Source organism: Homo sapiens, chromosome 9, assembly GCF_000001405.40.
Source record: "Homo sapiens chromosome 9, GRCh38.p14 Primary Assembly".
NCBI classification, from domain to species: Eukaryota; Metazoa; Chordata; class Mammalia; order Primates; family Hominidae; genus Homo; species Homo sapiens.
This window is the reverse complement of record NC_000009.12, coordinates 70,093,363-70,114,432: the sequence shown is the minus strand read 5'-3', so window position 1 is coordinate 70,114,432 and position 21,070 is coordinate 70,093,363. Positions and strand designations below refer to the sequence as shown.

At 41.0% G+C, this 21,070-nt stretch overlaps 1 protein-coding gene across 3 annotated transcripts in view; it reads right to left on the bottom strand.

The window, feature by feature from the left end:
* MAMDC2 (MAM domain containing 2) overlaps positions 1 to 21,070 on the bottom strand; it is a 183,392-nt gene that overhangs the window by 112,540 nt on the left and 49,782 nt on the right. For all 3 annotated transcript variants that reach the window (NR_125850.1, NM_153267.5, NM_001347990.2), the window contains exons 3-5: positions 5,951 to 6,222; positions 4,629 to 4,713; positions 1,301 to 1,438 (exon numbers count right to left, since the gene is read on the bottom strand). Coding sequence is in view for 2 of the 3 variants with exons in the window: in NM_153267.5 (NP_694999.3) it covers positions 1,301 to 1,438; positions 4,629 to 4,713; positions 5,951 to 6,222 (495 nt within the window). In the remaining variant the exon portion in view is untranslated. The remainder of the gene's footprint in view (positions 1 to 1,300; positions 1,439 to 4,628; positions 4,714 to 5,950; positions 6,223 to 21,070) is intronic.

Here is a 21,070-nt window from a genome sequence, read left to right as displayed (position 1 = left end):
TAAAAATTTGGGAAATTTCACACACACAAAAAAATCCCCTGCCTTCCTAATGATCTTGAAACATCAAAAGATCTGGCAACCCGGGCTTACATTCTCACACAGCAGCAACTCATTGGAGCCAAGTAACCTTTGCACAGGGTCTCTGCCATCTAGTTTGCCGCAGTCCTCACCCAGCCCACATGTCATTTGCTTATACTGTCTGCCTGGCTGTTACAGGGAATTGAACCTGAGACTCTGGATATAAAGGAGAAGTTAGAATAGGAGCAAAGAGAACAGTAAGGTTAGGATGAAGACTGTCCAGAGTCAAGATAAGCTGAAGGATGAGCACTTTTGAAAAAAAGAGTTGGAGACATGGTTAAATATATTCAGATGAAGAGAAGCAATACTGAATGAAGAAAAATGGTAAGAACCATAAAAGGTCATTATGTCTTCAGGCATGGGGACACACTGTCACCATCAACAAATTATTAGGATGAGTATATTACCTCAATATCTATGCGTAAAGGATCAAAAGAGAAAAAGTTAACTGTTTGCAACAGAATAAAAATTCCTGTTCTTGTTCTTGTTGAAAGGCCAGCTGCCAGAAGCTTCTCACTCCGTGGAGACCTTGGAGTCGAGGATGAAATGTCTTACAACTGTGGGGAGACCTTGGCTTTTCCAAAGCCTACCAGGGTCCAGGTGAGAGCAGTGGTAACCCACAAGTAAGTAAGCCCTTGCCCTTGTCTCTCTTCTGTGGAGGACTTCTCCTCAAAGCTGACTTCTCGCTGGTAACACAACCTCACCTCCCATTTTCCTTGCAGAGAAGCAGCCTTCTTGGCCACTAGGGGGGCCTGTTGCACACCACATTCAGAGCTAATCATCAGTATTGGCTCACCTCACTGTCACTTGGGAAGTTCTTAGGACCCATTCCCATCCTTTGATCTATCTTCAGTGAAAAGTAACCTAGGATTTTTCCAGCCTTGTCTTTAGAAATGAGAAATATTAAACAACAAATATACAAGAAAGTAAAGCATAATATGGAAATATGAAAATGCAAGACTAGGCCACAGGTGAAGGAGAACTTTTAATGGAATGGCCTTCCCCTTAGCTACAGAGCTCACAGCTGCAGTTTGTCTCTACCTCACTGTAGATCCTTCCCTACTCTTCTGTCACACCTCCTGGTTCCTACTTAGTTCCTACTCACCCTCCTCCCTCCTCTCTTCCCTGTTGACAGAAGCCACAGCTAGGTCAGTGCAGGAAGTGGGAGGAGACAGCAGAAAAATTTATCCTGGGAAAAGGACTCTATTTGATCCCAGCTCACCCAGTTCACTCTTGAAGGTGTGATCCTGTGGGAGAATGGAGTGGACATTCCGAATACTTCCTCCTCCAACAAACCAGTTCACATTGGGATTCCAGCGGTTCACAAAGCCACAGAGATGATTTTCTTCAAAGTCACATTCTGGGGAAGGGAAACAAAAACACTTCATGGAGACACAGTCACACCTGGGTACACGCATCCTACTACAGAGTTTGCTCTTAGATATTCAGAAGTTTCTCTCTTCCTTTGCCCACTGCAACCTTTCTACCAGGACCCCTGCACAATTTTGGCCAAGAAGAGAGACAGATCCTGTAATGAATCAAGATTCTAATTCATCATTGGCCCTTTGGATTATGGCCCTTCCACTTATTAGCCATGTCACTTGGAGCATGACTTACCACTTTTTGTAGCCTCTGTGTCTCCATATGTGAAATGGGGACAATGTTCCCACTTCACAGAGCTATTGTAAGTGTGGAGAGCTCCCAGCATAGTGCCAGGCATGTGGTCAGTGCTTGGTACAAGTCAGCTATTTTTATCAGTCACCTCTGTCTCAAAGAGCTGTTCAGGGTTATGCTCGTAGCTCTAGAAAATTTTTTCCACAACCCTTTCTTGAATCTACTGGCCCAGTCCTCCATTCCTTTCTCTTCTCATGATGAACAAGTTGCCCAGAGCTGAGGGACATGTGTCTGAGATGCTAAAATTCCCTGTTTTTCTTATAAATCAGAACCCAGGTAAAATAGGTGGGGCAGATATATCCTAGGTTCTGGTCCCTTTTGCAGCTACTGAGTAGAGAAGAGAGAGAAGATAATCAGATCCCCCTCTTCTACCCTTAGTGTCATTGGCATGTTTGCATGGATATATTGGTCTCCATCAACAATTGTTCCTTAAAAGGGAGCAAGAAACCCACAAGCTAATGCCTCCATTGACCCTTATAATCACACAGTTAAACTAGGAAGTATAATTGTGCTGGCCACTGGCCCCCTGCGGATCCACGTTGCTCTTCTCCACCTGATAGGTCCTGCAGAGGTTGACCTATCCGGACTGTATCAATGGGCTACCCTGCCTTCCATCTCCCTGTTGGATTCGACCAATGGAGGGTGGAAGGAGAATGAAATCAGGGGTTTACTTGCCCAGCAGTCTCCCAGCCAGGTCGCCATGAGTTGGCAAGTCTTGTCAAGCAGCCCTTGTTTGACAAATAGCTATTGTTTACAGGTACTGGAAACTCCTCCTCCCTTGTCCTTTCAGACCAAAAGAAGATAACAGCTCCTGAATCATCACTGTTACTAGTCCTGGGTCACAGAGCTATTCCTTGCTGGCTTCCTTTACCACTCACACCTTTGTGGTCTCTTCAGTGAGCTTCCCTCAAATTACTCAGGTTGACTGTACCCTCTGTTTCCTCCTTCCTGCCAGGATCTTGACTGGTGTAGTCAGCAATGTGTTTTTACATTAGCAAGCACTGAACATTTCTAAGATTTTCATTTTCAATGTTTCCACCACAGTGTCTGCTAGCCAATGCCCTAACATTCAGTGCCAAATGCTGCCTAAGAGTAAAATAAAAAGCAAAATATTCCTCAATATGCCAGGCTCCATTCTGAGCACTTTACATAAATTAACTTATTCAATCTTCAAAGCAGCCCCATGACATAGGCACTGTTACTAACCTCATTTTACAGATGAGCAATGGAGAGAGGCAGATAAAGTACCCAGAAAGAAAGAAGTCAGAGTGTGATCATAGAGTTTAACAAGATAAAAGTGTTGGCATCCTTTTGTTTTAAACAAATCAGAAGTCACCACATCATTTGAAGAAAGGCAATTAACATGTTTTGGATGTCCAGCACTGTATATACCAATTATTTTCATAACCAGGATATTCCTCCTCCTAAGAATCCTAGGAGGGAAGCTTTTTATTCCCATTTTACGGATGCCAAGAGGCTGAGGCTCAGTAAGCTGACTGAGCCAGCAGGTGGCGCTCCACCAGAGGTGTCTGACTTCCCTGTCGTTCACAAGCTGTGCAGATGCCAGGTGGAAGCCCAGCGGGAGGCTCAAGGAAAAGAGCCTGAGCCTCACTGTATCTTCAGAAAATGGTCTGTTTTCTTTCACTTGCCCTAGAGATATCATTGAGGTCAAAACAGACAAGTGAAACGTAAGGGAATTAGCAAAGGCTTTTTTGTTGTTGTTGTCGTTCAGAATATTCTTTGACTCTCCTTTCTCTTCCCCGTCACATTCATTTAGCCTTCAAGAGTTGTCAGTGCTGAAAAATCTCTCAATTCTACTGCCTTTTTCCAATTCCACTGCTAATTCAGTATTACCCTCATTATGCCCCCTCTGTAATGTCACAGCTGCTTCCTAGGGGTTTTCCCACCTGCTATGCATTTTCTTTGTACCCAACTCATTTTCCACGTGGCAGCTGGAGTCATCTGAAAGTGCAGCTGCACACTTCTCCCCTGCTGGCTGACCCACATGATTCAGCAGGTCCAAGCTCCACATCCTGCATCCACACTCTTCCATCACAAACTCCCTTAGCAGTCCTGGTCTCACTTCAAACACCCTACTCAGCCTCTTGCCTTTGCCTGAACCTGCCCTGTTTCTTTCTCCCCACAGGGGTCTGGCCATGGAGAACCCTTGCCTTCCTACCCTGCACCTCCACTTAACTAAATTCTTCTCCTTCTTGAAACTCCTGCTCCAGTGCACTGTCCCTATTCAGTCCTCTCCAATTTCCTCTCCTCCTCCCTGCGCCTCTCCACTGCACAGCTTGTCCTTCCTCAGCAGTATTTGCCATATGCAGAACTAGCTTCAATGTAGACAAATAGGAACTGAACCACCATAGGACAGGGTTTATCCTTTCTTTATGCCCTCTTGGAAGCTGGCAGATAAGAGACAGCCAACCAACTCTGCTCAAGTGAAATCTAAGTGACAACTGTGATTATTAAGAGGAGAGCCGTGGTGTGCCAAGAGAGAAATAAGGGAAAGGAGGTAATACAATGTCTGCTTTTCTGGCACATGCTACAAAAAGCTGAGTTTCCAGCAATTTGTAAATTATTTTAATCAGAATGTGTTGAGGTTAAGGTGGCAGCTCTGAAGTTACAGTTCCTGCATCTATATTTCTTTCATTAATCCAGACTGTACAGGCAGATTCTAATGAGCCTTCCCACACTAAAGACAAAAAACATACAGTATTCAAATGAATCTAGCAAAGAATTTAAACCAGTATGCATTATGCAGTGCATTCTATAAAATAGTTGGTCTTTAGGATTGATTCAGTTCCCTCTGGCAACAGTAACTTTTAGAAAAAGATTCACAATTTGATTTAATGAAAATGAAGCCCACTTACCAATACAGTAGCCGGTTGTCATCTTGATTTCAAATAGTGCGATGCTGGCTGTGTTTCCCTGTCCTAGTACACCTTCTATTAAAATCTGCACAACATATGGGGAAGAAGGGGAGTTAGACTTCAAAACATCATGTTTCCTTGGTTCAGTATTTCAGCTATTAGTCTGGAGCTGTTCAGCCACTTAAGGCAAAACAGGATTGTTAGTCTCAGCTAATTGCTATTGGATACCAATTTCACTACGGACTTTACTAGAAGAATGTGTGTGTATATATGTGTGTGCATGCGCATGTGCACATAAACTCATACATCAAAACTTCAAGGTAAATAAGGCATCTGATAGAAGCTCAGAGTCAGCTGTCTTTTCTTCTCTTGCTATCCCAACCACCACCACCTTCAGTGCTTGTGGTAGCACTTGTGGTCCTGTTTCTGAAAGTAATCACTTTTTCTCCTGTGGTTTTAGCCCTATATTCTGCAACTATGCTGGCAGATTTAGGAGGTGATAACTGCTGGGAAGAAGTTGTTAAAGAGAGAACTCAGAGCCCCCATGCTCCATCCTCAACCACTGGCTGACAGGGAAGGACTCCAAGCAGACAGTGGGTATTGGAGAGTAAAGCATTTCAAGCCTTTCAAAGAAGTGGGATGGGATAGGAAATTGAAAGACGGATTAGGAATGGGGAATATTTTCATGATGGCTCCATTGTGTCCCCGATGAAATATTTTCAATAAACATCACACTTCATGGCCAGGTGTGTCTGGATCCCATCCTCCTTCCTTATCCAGTCCACACCCAGCTTCACCTTACATTCGCTACCTTCCTTTTCCAGGACTCCCAAAGGAACAACTTCCCTCTTTGAAAAGGAAATGGAACATGTCCTTTAAGTATCTTTTCTCTTTTAAAGTATTTTCACTTTCCTTTTATTATAATCTTTTGTTCAAAATTTGTAGCAAAGAAATGATTAAGAAGATAAACAAACACATAGCACACACAATTTAGAAGGATGAAATAAAATTATAGAAATGAGAATACTCCCTAAAGCCATAGAAAATCTATTTTCATTGAAGAGGTTGATTTAAGCCCCATTTAGATTTTTACAGAAGGCTCATTTAAATAGATGGGAAAGAAATCTGGGAAGAAGCTCTTTTAAGGAATAAACAAAATGTTAATTTCCATTGCTAATATTCTTCTATGGTATGTATCTTATGAAACATCACGTCATAATCCAGGAGATAACTAACCTCCATGTCAGAAGTTTTCATAAGATTTTAGAATAGTATAAAGCAAAGATAATAGGCCTTATATCTTTCTCCTAAACTCCACCTACCTTGAATTTCTTGGAACTGTTTTGCAAATCCAAGCTGGCTATGAGCCAGCTGTCTGAAGGTTCCTTAGCTGACCAAAGCAAGCGATCAAAGCTTTCATCTTCAAATCTCATGTAGAGGTTCAGCTGGCTGGGATCTGACAGAGACTCCGAAGATGTGGTTATCTGGTAGACCAAACGGAGGCAGCTCCATTCCTCAGCCTGTAAGTCAGGACTTAGCAGCACAGCTTTCTCCCCCTGCTTGCCAAAGGAGGTATCCACATAAATGTAATGGCCTGGAAAGAGAAAGGAACATAGGAAAAGGATCAATTTTTGTTTGCAACCTGGAAAAATACGTAACTGCAGTTAAGTAAATCTCTGGGCAGATAAACCTGCAGATATATTTTGTCAACCCACTGAAAGTTGCCTGAACACTGGATCACTGGCCTCTTTTGAAAAAATTACAAAGCACTGAGACCATGTTACCAGATGATGACAACAGGCTGGAGCTGAGTGGTGCTGCCTCTTCAGAGGGTGGCATGTGGTCTCCACTTTGCCATAATTGCCATCAGTCCCTCTTCACTCCTCACACTGAGTGTCTCTGCTTTTTATTCTTTTACACCAGGCCCATTTAGCACATTGCATTCATCTCCCTGGTCCCCATAGGCATATGTTTCTGCAGGCTGAGGGACATCAGAATCAGAAGAGCGGCATGACTGAAGTCAGAATAACTGGGTGGACTCAACCTTCTCCTTACATAGCTCTCCCCATTACCTAATGTTTCAATCTGCATTTAACTTGCATCATTATGTAGACTGAATTGATTTGGTTACCTAAGCCTGGATCTTGGGACCTAGGCAGAAAAAGTACATTGTAAGCTATTTTTTATTAAATTAGGAATAAGACTTCCTTCCCTTGACTCTTCCATGACCAAATTTCATAGTTCTGAGAAATAAATGAGGAAACACTTGCAAAACATGTAGCACAGGGCTGGGAAAGCACTGGACACTCTGGGACTAGCAATTGTCCTTCCTTCTCCTCTATCCTCACTTCTCCTTTCGGATTCCCTGTTTCCTCCTTTCTCCTTTTCCTCCTCTCTTCTGTCTTCTTATTCCCCTTTCCCCGTCCTTCTCCTCCTCCTTTCCTTTTCCTCTGTTCATTCTCCTTCCCTTCTCCCTCTACCCTCCTAATATCGACAAGTGCTTTCTGCTGGCTGTACAAGATATGAAAAGCATTTCTATAAAAGTTGGTGGGGCATTGAAGCCAAGAACCTTAACTCGAGCCTTCCAAACCCACCTCTGGCCATCTGGTTTCCTATGTCAATGATCCAATTGCCTGTGGGTCTTTGGGGACCTCCTGGGCCTTTCTGGCCTGCAGATTCTCATGCTTTCTCGGAGGGCCCCACATTCATGGCTGTCATTTAACCTGCTGTCTTTCGTCCTGTGGCTTCCACCACCCTGTGTCTGCACTTCGGTCTCCCTAACCCTAAACTCTTACGAGAAAGGATCTGAAAAGCCTCTTTGTTTTGCTTGATGTTCTTCAGCCTGTCCTCCCACGCTTGTTGTCTCAAATGCCCATCCCAGCCTGGATCCTTATATCCGTGGCGAGTACCGACAGGCTAACTGGAGCTCAGATGACGGCCATCCTCACATGAGGGACACAGTTAGGGCATTGTCTTCAGGGATCCTTTCTTGCCGACTGAAGGATTTCAAGATCAAGATCTAACTCTTCCTGGCAATCTTCTTAACATAGCAACCGCCCACTGGGTGCAGATAGCAATTGCTTCTAGATGCCAACCCAGGCACCCTTGTGGAGAAATCTGGCCCTTGCAGCAATTGCTGACACCATCATACCTCCCACGTACAGGCGACACTCACTGCAACTCAGGCCCAAGTGCTGTTCTAAGTGCTTCACGTGCATTTCCAAGGTGAAGGCCTTGTTGGGTTTGACTATTCTAAGCTGGGGCTCTTGAGGCCAACCCTTTTTGGATAAAAAGTGCTGCTTCTTGTGGCATGAGGAATGTATTAGCACCATCCTCTTTCCCCACTCTTTGCTACTGCCCCAAAAGAAGGGACTTCAAGCAGGCTGGATTGGGGGAGATCACGTGAGTACCTCAAACCTTTTCCGAAGAAGTAGAGAGTTGGACATGGAGTATAAAAGAGGAAAGAAACAAATAAAGACCTTGCTATGTCCTATCAACATTCATATCAAATACCAACTTTGCTGCCATGGGAGGCTCAATTTTCCCTGGGTACTTCCCCAGCCTCCCCTTTTCTCTCCCTCCCCTTTTCCTTTCCCCACTCCAGAAAGGGACAACTCAAAGCAATGCTCTTAAAGTTGAGCCCAGAGTCACCTGGATATCTTGTTCAAATACACATCCCCAGGCCCACCCCTTGAGTTTCCAATCCAGTAGAGCTGGGGTGATGCTGCATTTCTAACAGATTGCATTTCTTGGATGTTCCAGGTGATACTGTTGCTACTGGTCTTTGAGAACTGCTGACTTACAATGTATGGACAGGTAAATAGGGTTCATTCTCCAGCCACCTCTCATCTACCAAAGAAAGTGCAGGCTCCTGTAGCATGTAAAGGAGGTAGGCAACGGTTCTGCTGGAAGGTACAACTCGAATTTAAGTGAATGTGTGTTAAAGCAGGTGCACAGAGTCCATCTGCTGGTGATTATCTTGGCTTTTCAGTGAGTGCCATAAAAAAATTCTCTTGACATTCTCTCTCACCTGATCAGATTTTACTATAAGCTTATGCTAATGTTCTCTTGTCAAGAACCTTTGAGAGCACACACTATATAAAATGTACTATTTAAAATACCTAGATTTTATTCTGTGTGATGAAAGTCGGTGCTATTCATTGAGTGATTTTGACATCTTAGCCATAAATGTGGGTTATTTTAAAATATTGGAATTTTGCATTTAAATTAAAGATCTCATATTTGTTTTTAGGTCACGCCATGTGAACGTGCCTCTTAGCAGCATTACAGTCCATGCAAAGATGTATCTACCCAGCTGATTGGATGCAATCCACTCAGCAGAATGATGCATTTTCCTAGACCTAATCATTAGCCCAAGCACCGCCCACCTCCACTATCACTGCCAACTTCAAGACTAATTTTCTAAATTAATCACTACGTTTTCCAGGCCTGCTCTGGATACAGCCTTAGAATCCTTCTAAACATAGTGCTGCATGTAACCACTACCAATCAATCTGAGTTGGCACTTGAGTTGAAACTACTTGTTATCTCTGCTTGTGGCTTCAGTGTAGGGGTATATTTTGTGGTCACGTTATAGCTAAATTGAACTAGAAGGAACACGGTATATTTTGAAGAAGTTTTAGAAAATATAGGATGAGGAAGATATTAATGTCAAGGATGTTGCCTTTCCCTGCCTTGTCACTAAGAAAATTGCTATTCTAGAATAAATCTGTGAGTTCTTTTTACTTAAAAAGAATCATTTTACCACCGAGTGAATTAACGAAGTTTTCTTTGGGTGTAAAAAAATGTTTTATTTATTCCATCTTAATCAAATTGATATTTGGAAGTTAACTTTAGACATAATTCGCATTCCATAGAATTCACCCTTTTAATACAATTCAGAGGTTTTTAGCATGTTCATAAATTTGTGCACCATCACCACTATCTAATTCCAGAACATTTTCACCATAACCCCAAAAGGAAACCCTGTATCCATTAGCAGTCATCCCTCATTCTCCCCACCCCTAGCATCTGGAAACTACAAATCTACTTTCTGTCTGCCTGAACTTGCCTATTCTGGAAACTTTATATAAATAGAATTATATAATATGTGTCCCTTTGTGACTAGCTTCTTTCACCTGGCATATTTTCAAGGTTCATCCATGTTGTAGCATATATTAGAATTTCATTCTTTTTGGGGGCTAATATTCTATTTTATGGATTACCACATTTTATTTATTCATTCATTAGTTGATGGACATTTGGATTGCCTCTCCTTTTTGACTATTATGAATAATCCTGCCATTAACATTTTTATGCAAGTGTTTTTGTATATAAAAATTTCACTTCTCCTAGGTGTATGCCTAGGAGTGGAATTGTTAGGCCACATGGAAATTCTATGTTTAACTTTTTGAAGAACTGCCAAACTGCTTTCTCAAGTGGTTGCATCATTTACATTTCCACCAGCAATGTATGAGAGTTCCAATTTCTCCACATCCTCACCAACACTTGTTATTGCCCATCTTTTTTTTAATTTTAGTGAATTGATGTGAATTGATCTCTGATTATGCTTTTGATTTGCATTTCTCAAGTGACTAATTATGTAGAGCATCTTTCATATGCTTATTGGCCATTAATGTACATCTACTTTGGAAAAATGTCTGTTCAAATCGTTTGTCCATTTTAAAAATTGGGTTGTCTTTTTATTGTTGAGTTATAAGAGGTTTTATACATTCTGGATAATAGATCTTATCGAATAGAAAATTTGCAAATACTTTTTCCCATTCTGTGCTTTGTCTTTTCACCTTTTTTTTTTTTTAAATGGAGACGGAGTCTTGCTGTGCCGCCCAGGCTGGAATGCAGTGGCGTGATCTCGGCTCACTGCAACCTCCACCTCCTGGGCTCAAGCAATTCTCCTACCTCAGTCTCCTGATTAGCTGGGACTACAGGTGTACGCTGCCACGCCCTGCTAATTTTTTGTATTTTAGTACAGACGGGGTTTCACCATGTTGCCCAGACTGGTCTCGAACTCCTGAGCTCAGGCAGTCTGCCCGCCTCGGCCTCCCAAAGTGCTAGGATTACAGGAGTGAGCCACCACTCCTGGCCGTCTTTTCACCTTTTTTATGGTATCCTTTGAAGTATAAAATTTTTAAATTTTGATGAAGTTTAATTTTCTATTTTTAGTTTTTTTTTTTCTGCCTTTGGCATCGTAGCTAAGAAGCCATTCTCAAATTTAAGGTCACGAAGATTTACAGCTATGTTTTTTTTCTCAGAGTTTTATTGTTTCAGCTTTTACGTTTAGATCTTTGATCTAATTTTTGCCCGTTGAATTTTCTTGCCACCATTGTTGAAATCAGTTGAGGATAGATGTGGGGTTTATTTCTGGACTTCTCAATTCGATTCTATTGATCTATGTTTATTCTTATGCCAGTACCACAGAGTCCTCCTTACTGTAGCTGTGTAGTAAGTTTTGAAATTGGGAAGTATGAGACCTCCGACCTATACTCATTTTCAAGATCATTTTAACTATTCTGGGTCCCTTGTATTTCCATATATATTTAAATATCAAAATGGGAATAATGCAGAACACCATAAAGTTCAGTGTTTTAACAGTATTCCTTCATTTTTCTTGAATACATGCTCCTGAATGTTATAAGCCTTTGGTTAATTTCCAGAGCTCTTAAAAAGTTGATTTTGACCATTTCTTTTGCTGTTCTCATTGCTTTTATGGGGAGAGGATTCTCTGAGGTCCTTACTCCACCACTCTTGCTGACATACTCCCTTTTCTCATCTTTTAAAACCAATAAGAATACCAAGCAGTGCTTCAGAGATGTTAGAGTAAACAAAACAAATGAGAAAAAGGCAAAGAAGGGCAGAAATCACAGGGGGATTGGGAGGTTGACTGTGATGCATCAGGCCAGGGATCTGGGGGAGATTTACCAACCGCAGTGTTGGAGAAATGGCATCAGGAGGAGAGGGAAGGATCCACTTCAAATATGGCTGCCTAGGCAATTGGAACTGATTTACTAGACATTTATTAGAGATGATAAAATCTTTATAAAGGGTCAGAAAAGGGCCATAAACTTCCAAATAGATTTTTTTAAAAAGTAAGTCAGCAATCAAAAACAATCATTAAGCCATCTTGCCAAAAAGTACAGACTCCACGTGCCCTGGGGTCTGAACATGTCTCCTTGTCACATGCAGGCATCAGAAAACAACAGAAAAAGCTTTTCTGTTTAAGTGAAGCCAAGCCATAAATAACTGAGTCTTGAAGTCATGTTCAATCGCTGGACACATCTGCATGGCCAGAACTCAATGTATCGATAACTTCCAATAGCCATGGCACAGCATGGTAGGTCTAAGTCCCACACCATCACTGTGGCAGCATGGTCAGGGCACAAGTCACAAGGGGCTTCTTGGCACCCATGGAATTCTGTTAGCTAATGAATGCCGAATGCCCCGTCCTTCAGGTGTGATAATCATGCTGGGGTGACTGTGTGGTACAGTGGACCCTACTCAGGATTTGTAAATTATAACCTAGGTTTAAAACCTTATGACACACACATAAACTGAATCACTGGCTTCTTTATTTTCAAAATGAGACTAATAAAAGAAGAGAGCCACTTTACATATACATTCAATATGTGGAAAATCAATGTACTTAGAAAAAAACAAACCAACTAAAAACAACCCAACCACTAGTACAACACACACACATACGAAATATGTTTTTCATATGAATAGCCACTAAATGGAGTCTATTTCATCTAATGTTTAAATAAGTATATACTTCCATGCAGAAAGAAAAATTGGCCGTGTTGTACATAAAAATGGCATAATACGTATAAAACCATGTACACTGTACTCTGTAATTTAAGGAACTCTTAAGAGCAATTTTGACAATGTATAATTTTCACGTTTTGTGCTGACTTTAGACTGTAAAACTGAAGTGAGATATGACTTCATATCTATAGGGCTGTTGTGAGAACCTGATAAAATGATGTACAGTCATGCATCACTAAACGATGAAGATAGGTTCTGAGAAATCATCATTGGGTGATTTTGTCATTATGCAGGTATTATAGAGTGTACTTCATGAACCTAGATGGAGAGCCTACTACACATGTAAGCTATATGAGACAGCCTATTACTCCTAGGCTACAAACCTGTAACAGTATGTTACTGTACTGAATACTGTAGGCAATTGAAACACAATGATAAGTACTTGTGTATCTAAACACACCTAAACATAGACAAGATATAGTAAAAATACAGCATAAAAGATAAGAAATAGTACATCTGTATAGGGCACTAACTTGCAAGTGGTGTGGGTGAGTCAGTGAGTCAGCAGGGAGGGAATGTGAAGGACTAGGCTATTACTGTACACTACTGTAGACTTACAAACACTGTATACTTAGGCTATTCTGAATTTATATAAAATATTTTTCTTTTTTCAATAATGAATTAACCTTCGTTTACTATAACCTTTTTACTTTATAAATTAAAAAAAATTTTAACATTTGACTCTTATGTAACAACTGTTAGCTTAAAACACAAACACACTGTACGGTACTGTATAAAATATTTTCTTTCCTTATATCCTTATTATTAATGAGGTTTTTTATGATTTAAATATTGTAACATTTTTTACTTTTCAAACTTTTTGTTAAAAACAAAGACACAAACATTCACATTAGCCTAGGGCCTATACAGGATCAGAATCATCACAACGTCACTAGGCTATAGGGAATTTTCAGTTTTATTATGTTATGGGACTACCATCATATATGCCCATCGTTGATCAAAACATTATGCAGTGCATGACTATATATAAAGATGCTTTGTAAATGGTCATGTTAATTGCTAATTTCTGTTCTCATCATCAAAGGCAGGAGTTTTTAGTTATTGCAGAGACAGAGAGAAATGTATATTGCCTTCTTACTTTTTTCCAATATGGATCAGAGAAGATATTTGTTCAGGTAACAGACCAGCAGCACGTTTTCAGTGCTGATATGAGAACAGGCCTCATTCGTTTCACTTTAATTGGCCCTTTGACGTTAAAGTCTACAACTTTGTGCTTTTAGTGCTGGGCCCATCCTGGCTAGCCATGCTAAGCAGTCTCCCTCCTCACAGCTAAGCTCCTCTGGTTCTTACCCAAGGCTAATCATCATTTCAAGTGGAATCTGGCATATTTACTCCTGATGTGATTCTGGCTGAAATCTGATGACGCAGGTCTGACAGCAATGCCTACGTCTGTCTTTTGTTTAGAGCTTAGTGCCTTGCATATCTAAGACAAGGACACTGCTTCTTTTTGGCAGCTTCCTTCCCAGGGCTGAAGTCTAGTCCCTGAACTCAAACGAGGATCTTCCCACTCAATTTTCTGAATGCCTTAACTGTCTGCCTCCCTGGATCAGGTCCTGCTGTGGACACAGTATGGTAGAGTGGTTGAATGTGGCTATCACATCAACTTGATGTTGGTTCAAATCTTGGCCACGCCACTTAGAAACAATGTCACTTTGGGCAAGTTAATTATATTATCTGAAACTCACTTTCTTCTTTGGTAAAGTGAGGATGTTAAAATACCAATTTTGTAGTCTTTTAAGATTAAATAAGATAATGTAAGTACTTAGCACAGAGCCAAGTTCTTAATAAATGTTAGTGCTCCTATGTCCAGTTAGATGATCAGCATCCTCTTCTGATGGTTACCCCACCTCGTCATCTCACTTTGGACCTCCTTGATACCAGTTGCTATTGTTCTACCTGCTGCCCATTGTGCTTGTGCTCTCTCTCTCTCTCTCTCTCTCTCTCTCTCTCTCTCTCTCTCTTTCTTTTTGGCAGAGTCTTGCTCTGTCACCCAGACGGGAGTGCAGTGGCGTAACCTCAGCTCACTGCAACCTCCACCTCCCAGGTTCAAGCGATTCTCCTGCCTCAGCCTCCCAAGTAGCTGGAATTACAGGCACCCGGCACCACGCCCAGCTAATTTTTGTGTTTTTAGTAGAGATGAGGTTTCACCATGTTGGCCAGGCTGGTCTCGAACTACTGACCTCAGGTGATCCACCCGCCTCGGCCTCCCAAAGTGCTGGGATTACAGGCGTGAACCACCGCGCCTGGCCTGCCCTACCTTTCTGACACCAACTTCTGCCCCCTATGTAGAAGATCTTCCAAGTATCTGTGACTGGATCTATTCTCCCTAGTGCCTGCTCTACTGCTATGGGCATGTCTTTTTATGCTATGACAGTCATCTCTGGGATCTACTAGATAATCAAAGCAGCCTGGACAATAATACATGCAAAGCATCCAGCAAATGTTCATGAAGTTTCTGCAAAGAACAGATTTCTATCGTGGAGAGAAGATGCCTCTGTGGAACTGCATCCTCAATTATGTATAAGCCATCAGCTTACATTTTGAAGGAGTGTTATTTTCTTTGCATATCAAAGACTTTCAAAAAAATGAAAAAGTCAAATTTCTCAAAATGTATAGAAAATACAATGGGTATGGGGTTCTCAAAGTTGATCGTGTTATTAGAAAATAAATAATATAGCACTCCTTAAATGTAAAATGATTTTTTAATCTTTGGGACTATTAATATCTGAGTTTTTTTCTCAATTAATCAGATTCACAATGATTTATAAATCTACTGATTACTTCTGGCAGAGAATGGTCTGATCTGAAACTATGTAAGAAAAAAATCACAAATATTTATGACTCACATAAAGTATTCTCATCTTCTGTTTGAAGTTTCCAATTTTACTATTATTTTGTGTTGTTTAATAAATCGCTAATTATATTAATCATAATTTTAATAAAATGATGAACATAACTTTTAAGACTTCAGCTCAAGTCATCTGGTAAGAAACAAAGATTCAAAAATGACTAACATTTGTTGTACTCTGGGTACTAGATTCTTCACACATGTTCTTCTCCCTTAAGCCTGTCAAATGATCCTATGATGTAGAAATTGCCACTTTACAAATAAGGAAACAGAGATTGACAAAAATTAATTCACCAGTTCAAGGAAACAGCTAGTAAACCAAGCTGAGGCACAAAGTCCATGCCTTTTCCCCTGCACCAGGCTGTCTCCAAATATTTCCTTTTCTGCCTCCTTTATTAATTTATCTTTTCATAATATCATTTTCTTACAGCAGGAAAACAACCTTTTCTTCCTTTTCCTTATAGTGGGATCCTGAAGGTATGGATAAATCTATATGGACTTTCATTTGGGCTTCTCCACAAATATTATTTCTACTGATAACACAATAATCTGATTAATTTTTCTACTGCAGTGCCTCAAATCTAAAAGACTTTTAAACATGTCAAGATTTCTAAAATTAGGGCATGTCTTACAATTGATCTATAGTGCACCTCCCCACTCCCTAAAAGGATGTTAGCAAATCTATGGTGCAACTTAGAATCAAGGAATACAAAATAAGATTATTTCACCTGCACTTTGGTTACTGACTGCTGTCAGAGACCCCACAGGCTTGGGCTCAGAGGATGCTATCAAATATTACTGGTAAATCCTGCCAAAGGGTGGTAAGTGGGGCAACATGAAGATAAAGGGTTACAGAGCCACCTGCAGAAGGGCAGCACTGGTGGTCCAGAGACCTCTAGTTACCAGCTTGTACAAGGCACAGTCCACAGTTTCAGTCCAATGTCTTAATAAGTATTTACTAACTTGCAATGTGTACATGTCATGAACAATCCATTTCCATAAAGTATATGGGCCCCCAGTTGCCAGACAACAAGGTACTTCATATCATGTAACATAAACAAGTCCATCGGGCTTCCAAATCTTCCTGCTGAATTAGAAAGGGTTTCCCCATGGAGTTTCGCAAGGCATATGTCTTTTCAGTGCATGTTTTTTATGGGAATGGCTTCTCTTCACCCCTCTCCTTGCCATGTGAAGCCCCTAATATGACACAGATTCAAGAAATTTTTCATTTTCATTCAATGAAAGTACATGAAACTCCTGGCTTTTGGTTAGTTTCCATGGATAAGAGGATGAATGAGACCCAAGAGGTATAAGCTTACATCTAAATCTCCCCAGAAGCCAGCATACTGAGGATGGTTGATTTGCAATGCAACTTTATAGGCAGGTCCCACTTCTAAAGTGTGGTGGGCAAAATTATCTGTAATTGAAAAGGAACAACTAGATACTGTCATCCTATTTTGGTCCCAAGCGGTAAGAAACCCCTCCCAGAATGAAACCTTCTCTAGACCAGCAAAGAGGCTCTTGCACTGGGGAAATATAGGTTTGCTTAAAGAAATAGGAAAGCCTGCATTTATAGAGCAGCACAAAATTACCACGTACAAACTTCCAAGCTATCCCAACACACAGGGTCATGGGTGGGGTAAGTCCTTTCTTCCTGATGTGGAAATTGAATTTTCGGTGTTCTCAGTATTCCTTGTCAATATCATTTGCCTCAGGAAATTCATTACGCAATCTGTCATTATTATACAATACTTATCTCCAAAAAGAAAAATCTCTTCCTTTTCAAATTCATTTATAAGAAAAAATTTGCTCCTCTCACAAATAAAGACAAAGCTTGGCCGACAACTACAGAACCTCCAGAGAACCTTAATAGGGTGAAGCTGGATGAGACCTTGATGTCTAATAAAGGGATCTTGATGAAGATTTTTTTTTCTCTAGTGCCACTTAGGATGGAAATGGAAGAAAACAGTGAGGCCTGGGGAGATGCCCTGAATAGAGTGTCACTATTGATTAGCAATATCTGCCTGGTCCTGGGAGAAGACCACATGGGACAGATCATGTCCGACTTCTTCCTTCCTAGTTGACTCAGAAACTTCTCCCACATCTGGGGTGTTTGGCTTTTGGGGAGTAAGGGGAATTTCTACAGGAAGGTTGTGACATTTTTCACCTTAGAGGTGGCCCTTATTTATAAAATCGCATGGCAGCAGCATCAACATCGTGATCTTGAAATGTTCTTTTCCTCTGGATTCCTTGATCCCCCCCTTTAATAGTTTTGCCCCTACCTTCTATCTGCTACTCCTCTATCTTCTCCATGGTATTCTCTACCTTTGTTAGTCTCTTACTTGTTAGTATTTCATTGGGTCTGGGTCTAGCTTCTCTACTTTGATGACTCTTCCTTACCATAGCAGTAACTAATTGCCTCCCTAATATCCATTCTCTCCTGCTTCCTCATTACAGAACCCCAATTTGATTGGGGCTGGCAATATGCCCAGCCAAGAGAATGACATTGCTGTGCCACCTTTGCCTTTGGGATAGCCAGTGACTAAGTTCTAGATGGAGAAAGTTGTTGAATGGGGCTTTCAGGAAAGCTCCTCAAAGGGGGGGCTGACTCAGCTAGTAGGTTTCTTTTGTCCTCTCCTTTCCTCCCTCTTTCTGTCTGAAGTGTGCATGCGATGGACTGGAGTTGCAATGGCCACTTTAAGAACAGGAGGTGACTAGGGTGAAGAATTCATCTTAGTTAGCCTGGGCCTTTCTTAGTTTTAAAATTTAAAGTCCCAGACTGGTGCAGTGGCTCACAGCTGTAATCCCAGCACTTTGGGAGGCTGAGGTGGGAGAATCGTTTGGGCCCAAGAGTTCAAGACCAGCCTGAGGAACATGGCAAAACCCCATCTCTACAGTACATAGAAAAATTAGCCAGGCATGGCACCTGTGGTCCCAGCTACTCAGCAGACTGAGGTGGGAGAATCACCTGAGCCTGGGGAGGTCGAGGCTGCAGAAAGCTGTGATTGCACCAGTGCAGTCCAGCCCAGGCAAGAGAGCAAGATTGTGTCTCAAAAAAAAGAAAAAAAAAACTTAAATTAAATTAAATTTAAAGTCCTATGTCCTGGGAACAGGACATGTTTTCTGGGGAAACTGACAGTGTTGTTCATCCTAGCAGGCAACCCTGAAAATGGACATTATCACTGTGAGTGGGATGTAAAAATAGCAGGAGCTGGGTTCCTGATCATATTGTTGAGTCTTCTAACCAGTCTGGACTTCCTATGTCTGCACTTTTCACTAGGAAAGAAAAACAACAAATCCCAATTTAAACCATTATTTAGTTTTTTTCTGCTATAGGCATCCAAATTACTTAACTGACTTCTCCCATGCCTTCCAGCTTCGTTTATACAGAGGTAATTCCCAAGTCTCTCACTCTGGCCTGATCCCCTATCACTTCCAGACTCATGTATCTTTCTGTTGGGCATCTCCACATGGACATGCCATAGGCACTTAAACTCATTCTCTTTCTCCCAAATCCTACTCTCCCAAATCTGAGAGAATGGAACCCCCAGCTATCTAGTGATCAATCAAGAAATCTTAGTGTCTTCATTGATTCCTCCATCTCCCTCCAAAATTCTATCAATCTCAATAACTGAATTTTGAAAATTTCTCTCAAAGTCAACCATTCCTTCAAGTTCCTTCCACTGATCCAGCTTACAAAAACTATCTTTTGTCTGGATTATTCCAATGCCCTTCTGATACGTCTATCTGCTTCAGTCTTGCCCCAGTCTAATCTAATCTCCACACTACAGCCAGAGTGTTATTTCTGTTATGCCAATCTGCTCACATCATTTCCCAGCCTAAAACACCTGAAGGGGGTCCCCATTGTCCTCAATTTACATGGCCTTGGTGTTCTGGCTCGCATATTTAACCACACCCTTTTCTGCAGCCTACATGGCAGCTACAGAATTTCTTTTAGTTCCTTTAAGCTAAGGTGCCAGGCTCTTTATTGCTTCAGGCCTTCCCACATGCTGTTTCCTTTATCTGGGATACTCTCTTTCATATCCCTTCCCTCCTACATTCCATGCCACTACTGCTCACTTCCTTCTTAGCTCACTCTATACTTCATTATGGTCTTAGCCTAACATATCTACCATGTAAAATTGTGCAGTGTGCAACCTATACAACTGTACATGGTGGACCTGTTTAGATACTGCTTTTTTCAGGCAGCCTTTGCTAATCTCTACCTCCAAACATGGTTAGATGTCTTTTTTAAGTCTTCTTTTAATATCAGCATTATAACTTTAATTTTTATTTGTCTGACTACTTGTCCACATTCCTCATTAGGATTTTAAGCATATAGGGGTACCCACTATATCTGCCTGTCTCCTAGTATGTGCTTTCTATATTTTTAAATAAATGGGTAAACTTCTTCCTGATGGTAGTCTTGTTTTATCATGTTTATATATAAAGCTACATTAAAACTCTTTTTTATTATGGAAATCTCCTATTAGGTTTCAATTTCTTGCAAATTACTCAATTTGCTGTTATTCAAGGAAATATAATATTTAATGAGAACTGTAACTTTGCTGGCAACTCACACCACAGTTATTATTTTCACATATACCTCTACTGTTATATTTTCTGAAATACAAATTCTCACTATGTCAGGATACACAAAAGATTGTTGAAATGCACAATTCTCTGCCTTTCTGGAATGCAGAGTTTGTGGGAAGCATTTAGAAAATGTTTCAGTGTGTGACATTTCTAGATTAAAGAGAGCTATAGTTTTATCAGCCTCAAATTTCAAGGAGTCCCAAAGTGCAGAGATCAGCAATACATGGAGAAATGGTGAGGTCAGCATTGCTTAGCCGTCTTGAATGCCATTTTGGTTCTCCCTGACAACAGGGAAATTATCCTCATATCATAGCTAACACTGCAAAAGTAGTCTTAAAAGATTACAAAGCATTAAGCCTGGCAAAAACAAAACAAATGCCAGGAGGCAATCTCCAGTGTAAACAATCTGCCAACATTTGAAACCACAACCACAGATGTTTGTTCCACCCTTTGTCATAGGGTCTGTCATAGGGTGTAGCTTTAAGCCCTGCTGGCCCAAGTGGCAGTTTTAGAAGAGAAGTTTACCTTAGCAACCAGCAACAGAAAACCAAGTGATGAACCCACAATGAAAGGTCACATAATATTTGGAAAGGGAGCTTCACTTTATATGGTATTTAACAAAGGATGAAAATATAAGAAAAGGCTGCATTACCCGATAGAGAGTGTTTGTTCTACCAAAGATCAGTTCTCAGAACACATTTTCCACTACATCATTTGTCAGGTAGGGAAGATATTCCTTCTAAACATAGAAATGTCCCTGTATTTAGGCCGAGTGCGGTGGCTTATGCCTGTAATCCCAGCACTTTGGGAAGTCAAGGTGGGTGGATCACTTGAGGTCAGGAGTTCAAAACCAGCCTGACCAACATGGTGAAACCCCATTTCTACTAAAAATAAAAAAAAAAAAATTAGCCGGGCATGGTGGTTGGTGCCTGTAATCCCAGCTACTTGGGAGGCTGAGGAAGGAGAACTGCTTGAACCCGGGAGGTGGAGGTTTCAGTAACCCGAGATCTTACCACTGCCACTCCAGCCTGGGCAACAGAGCAAGGCTCCATCTGAAGAAAAAAAAAAAAAAAAACTGTCCCTGTATTTAAAATACATGTGGATGATGATGACATCAGAAGATAATGAGTAACTG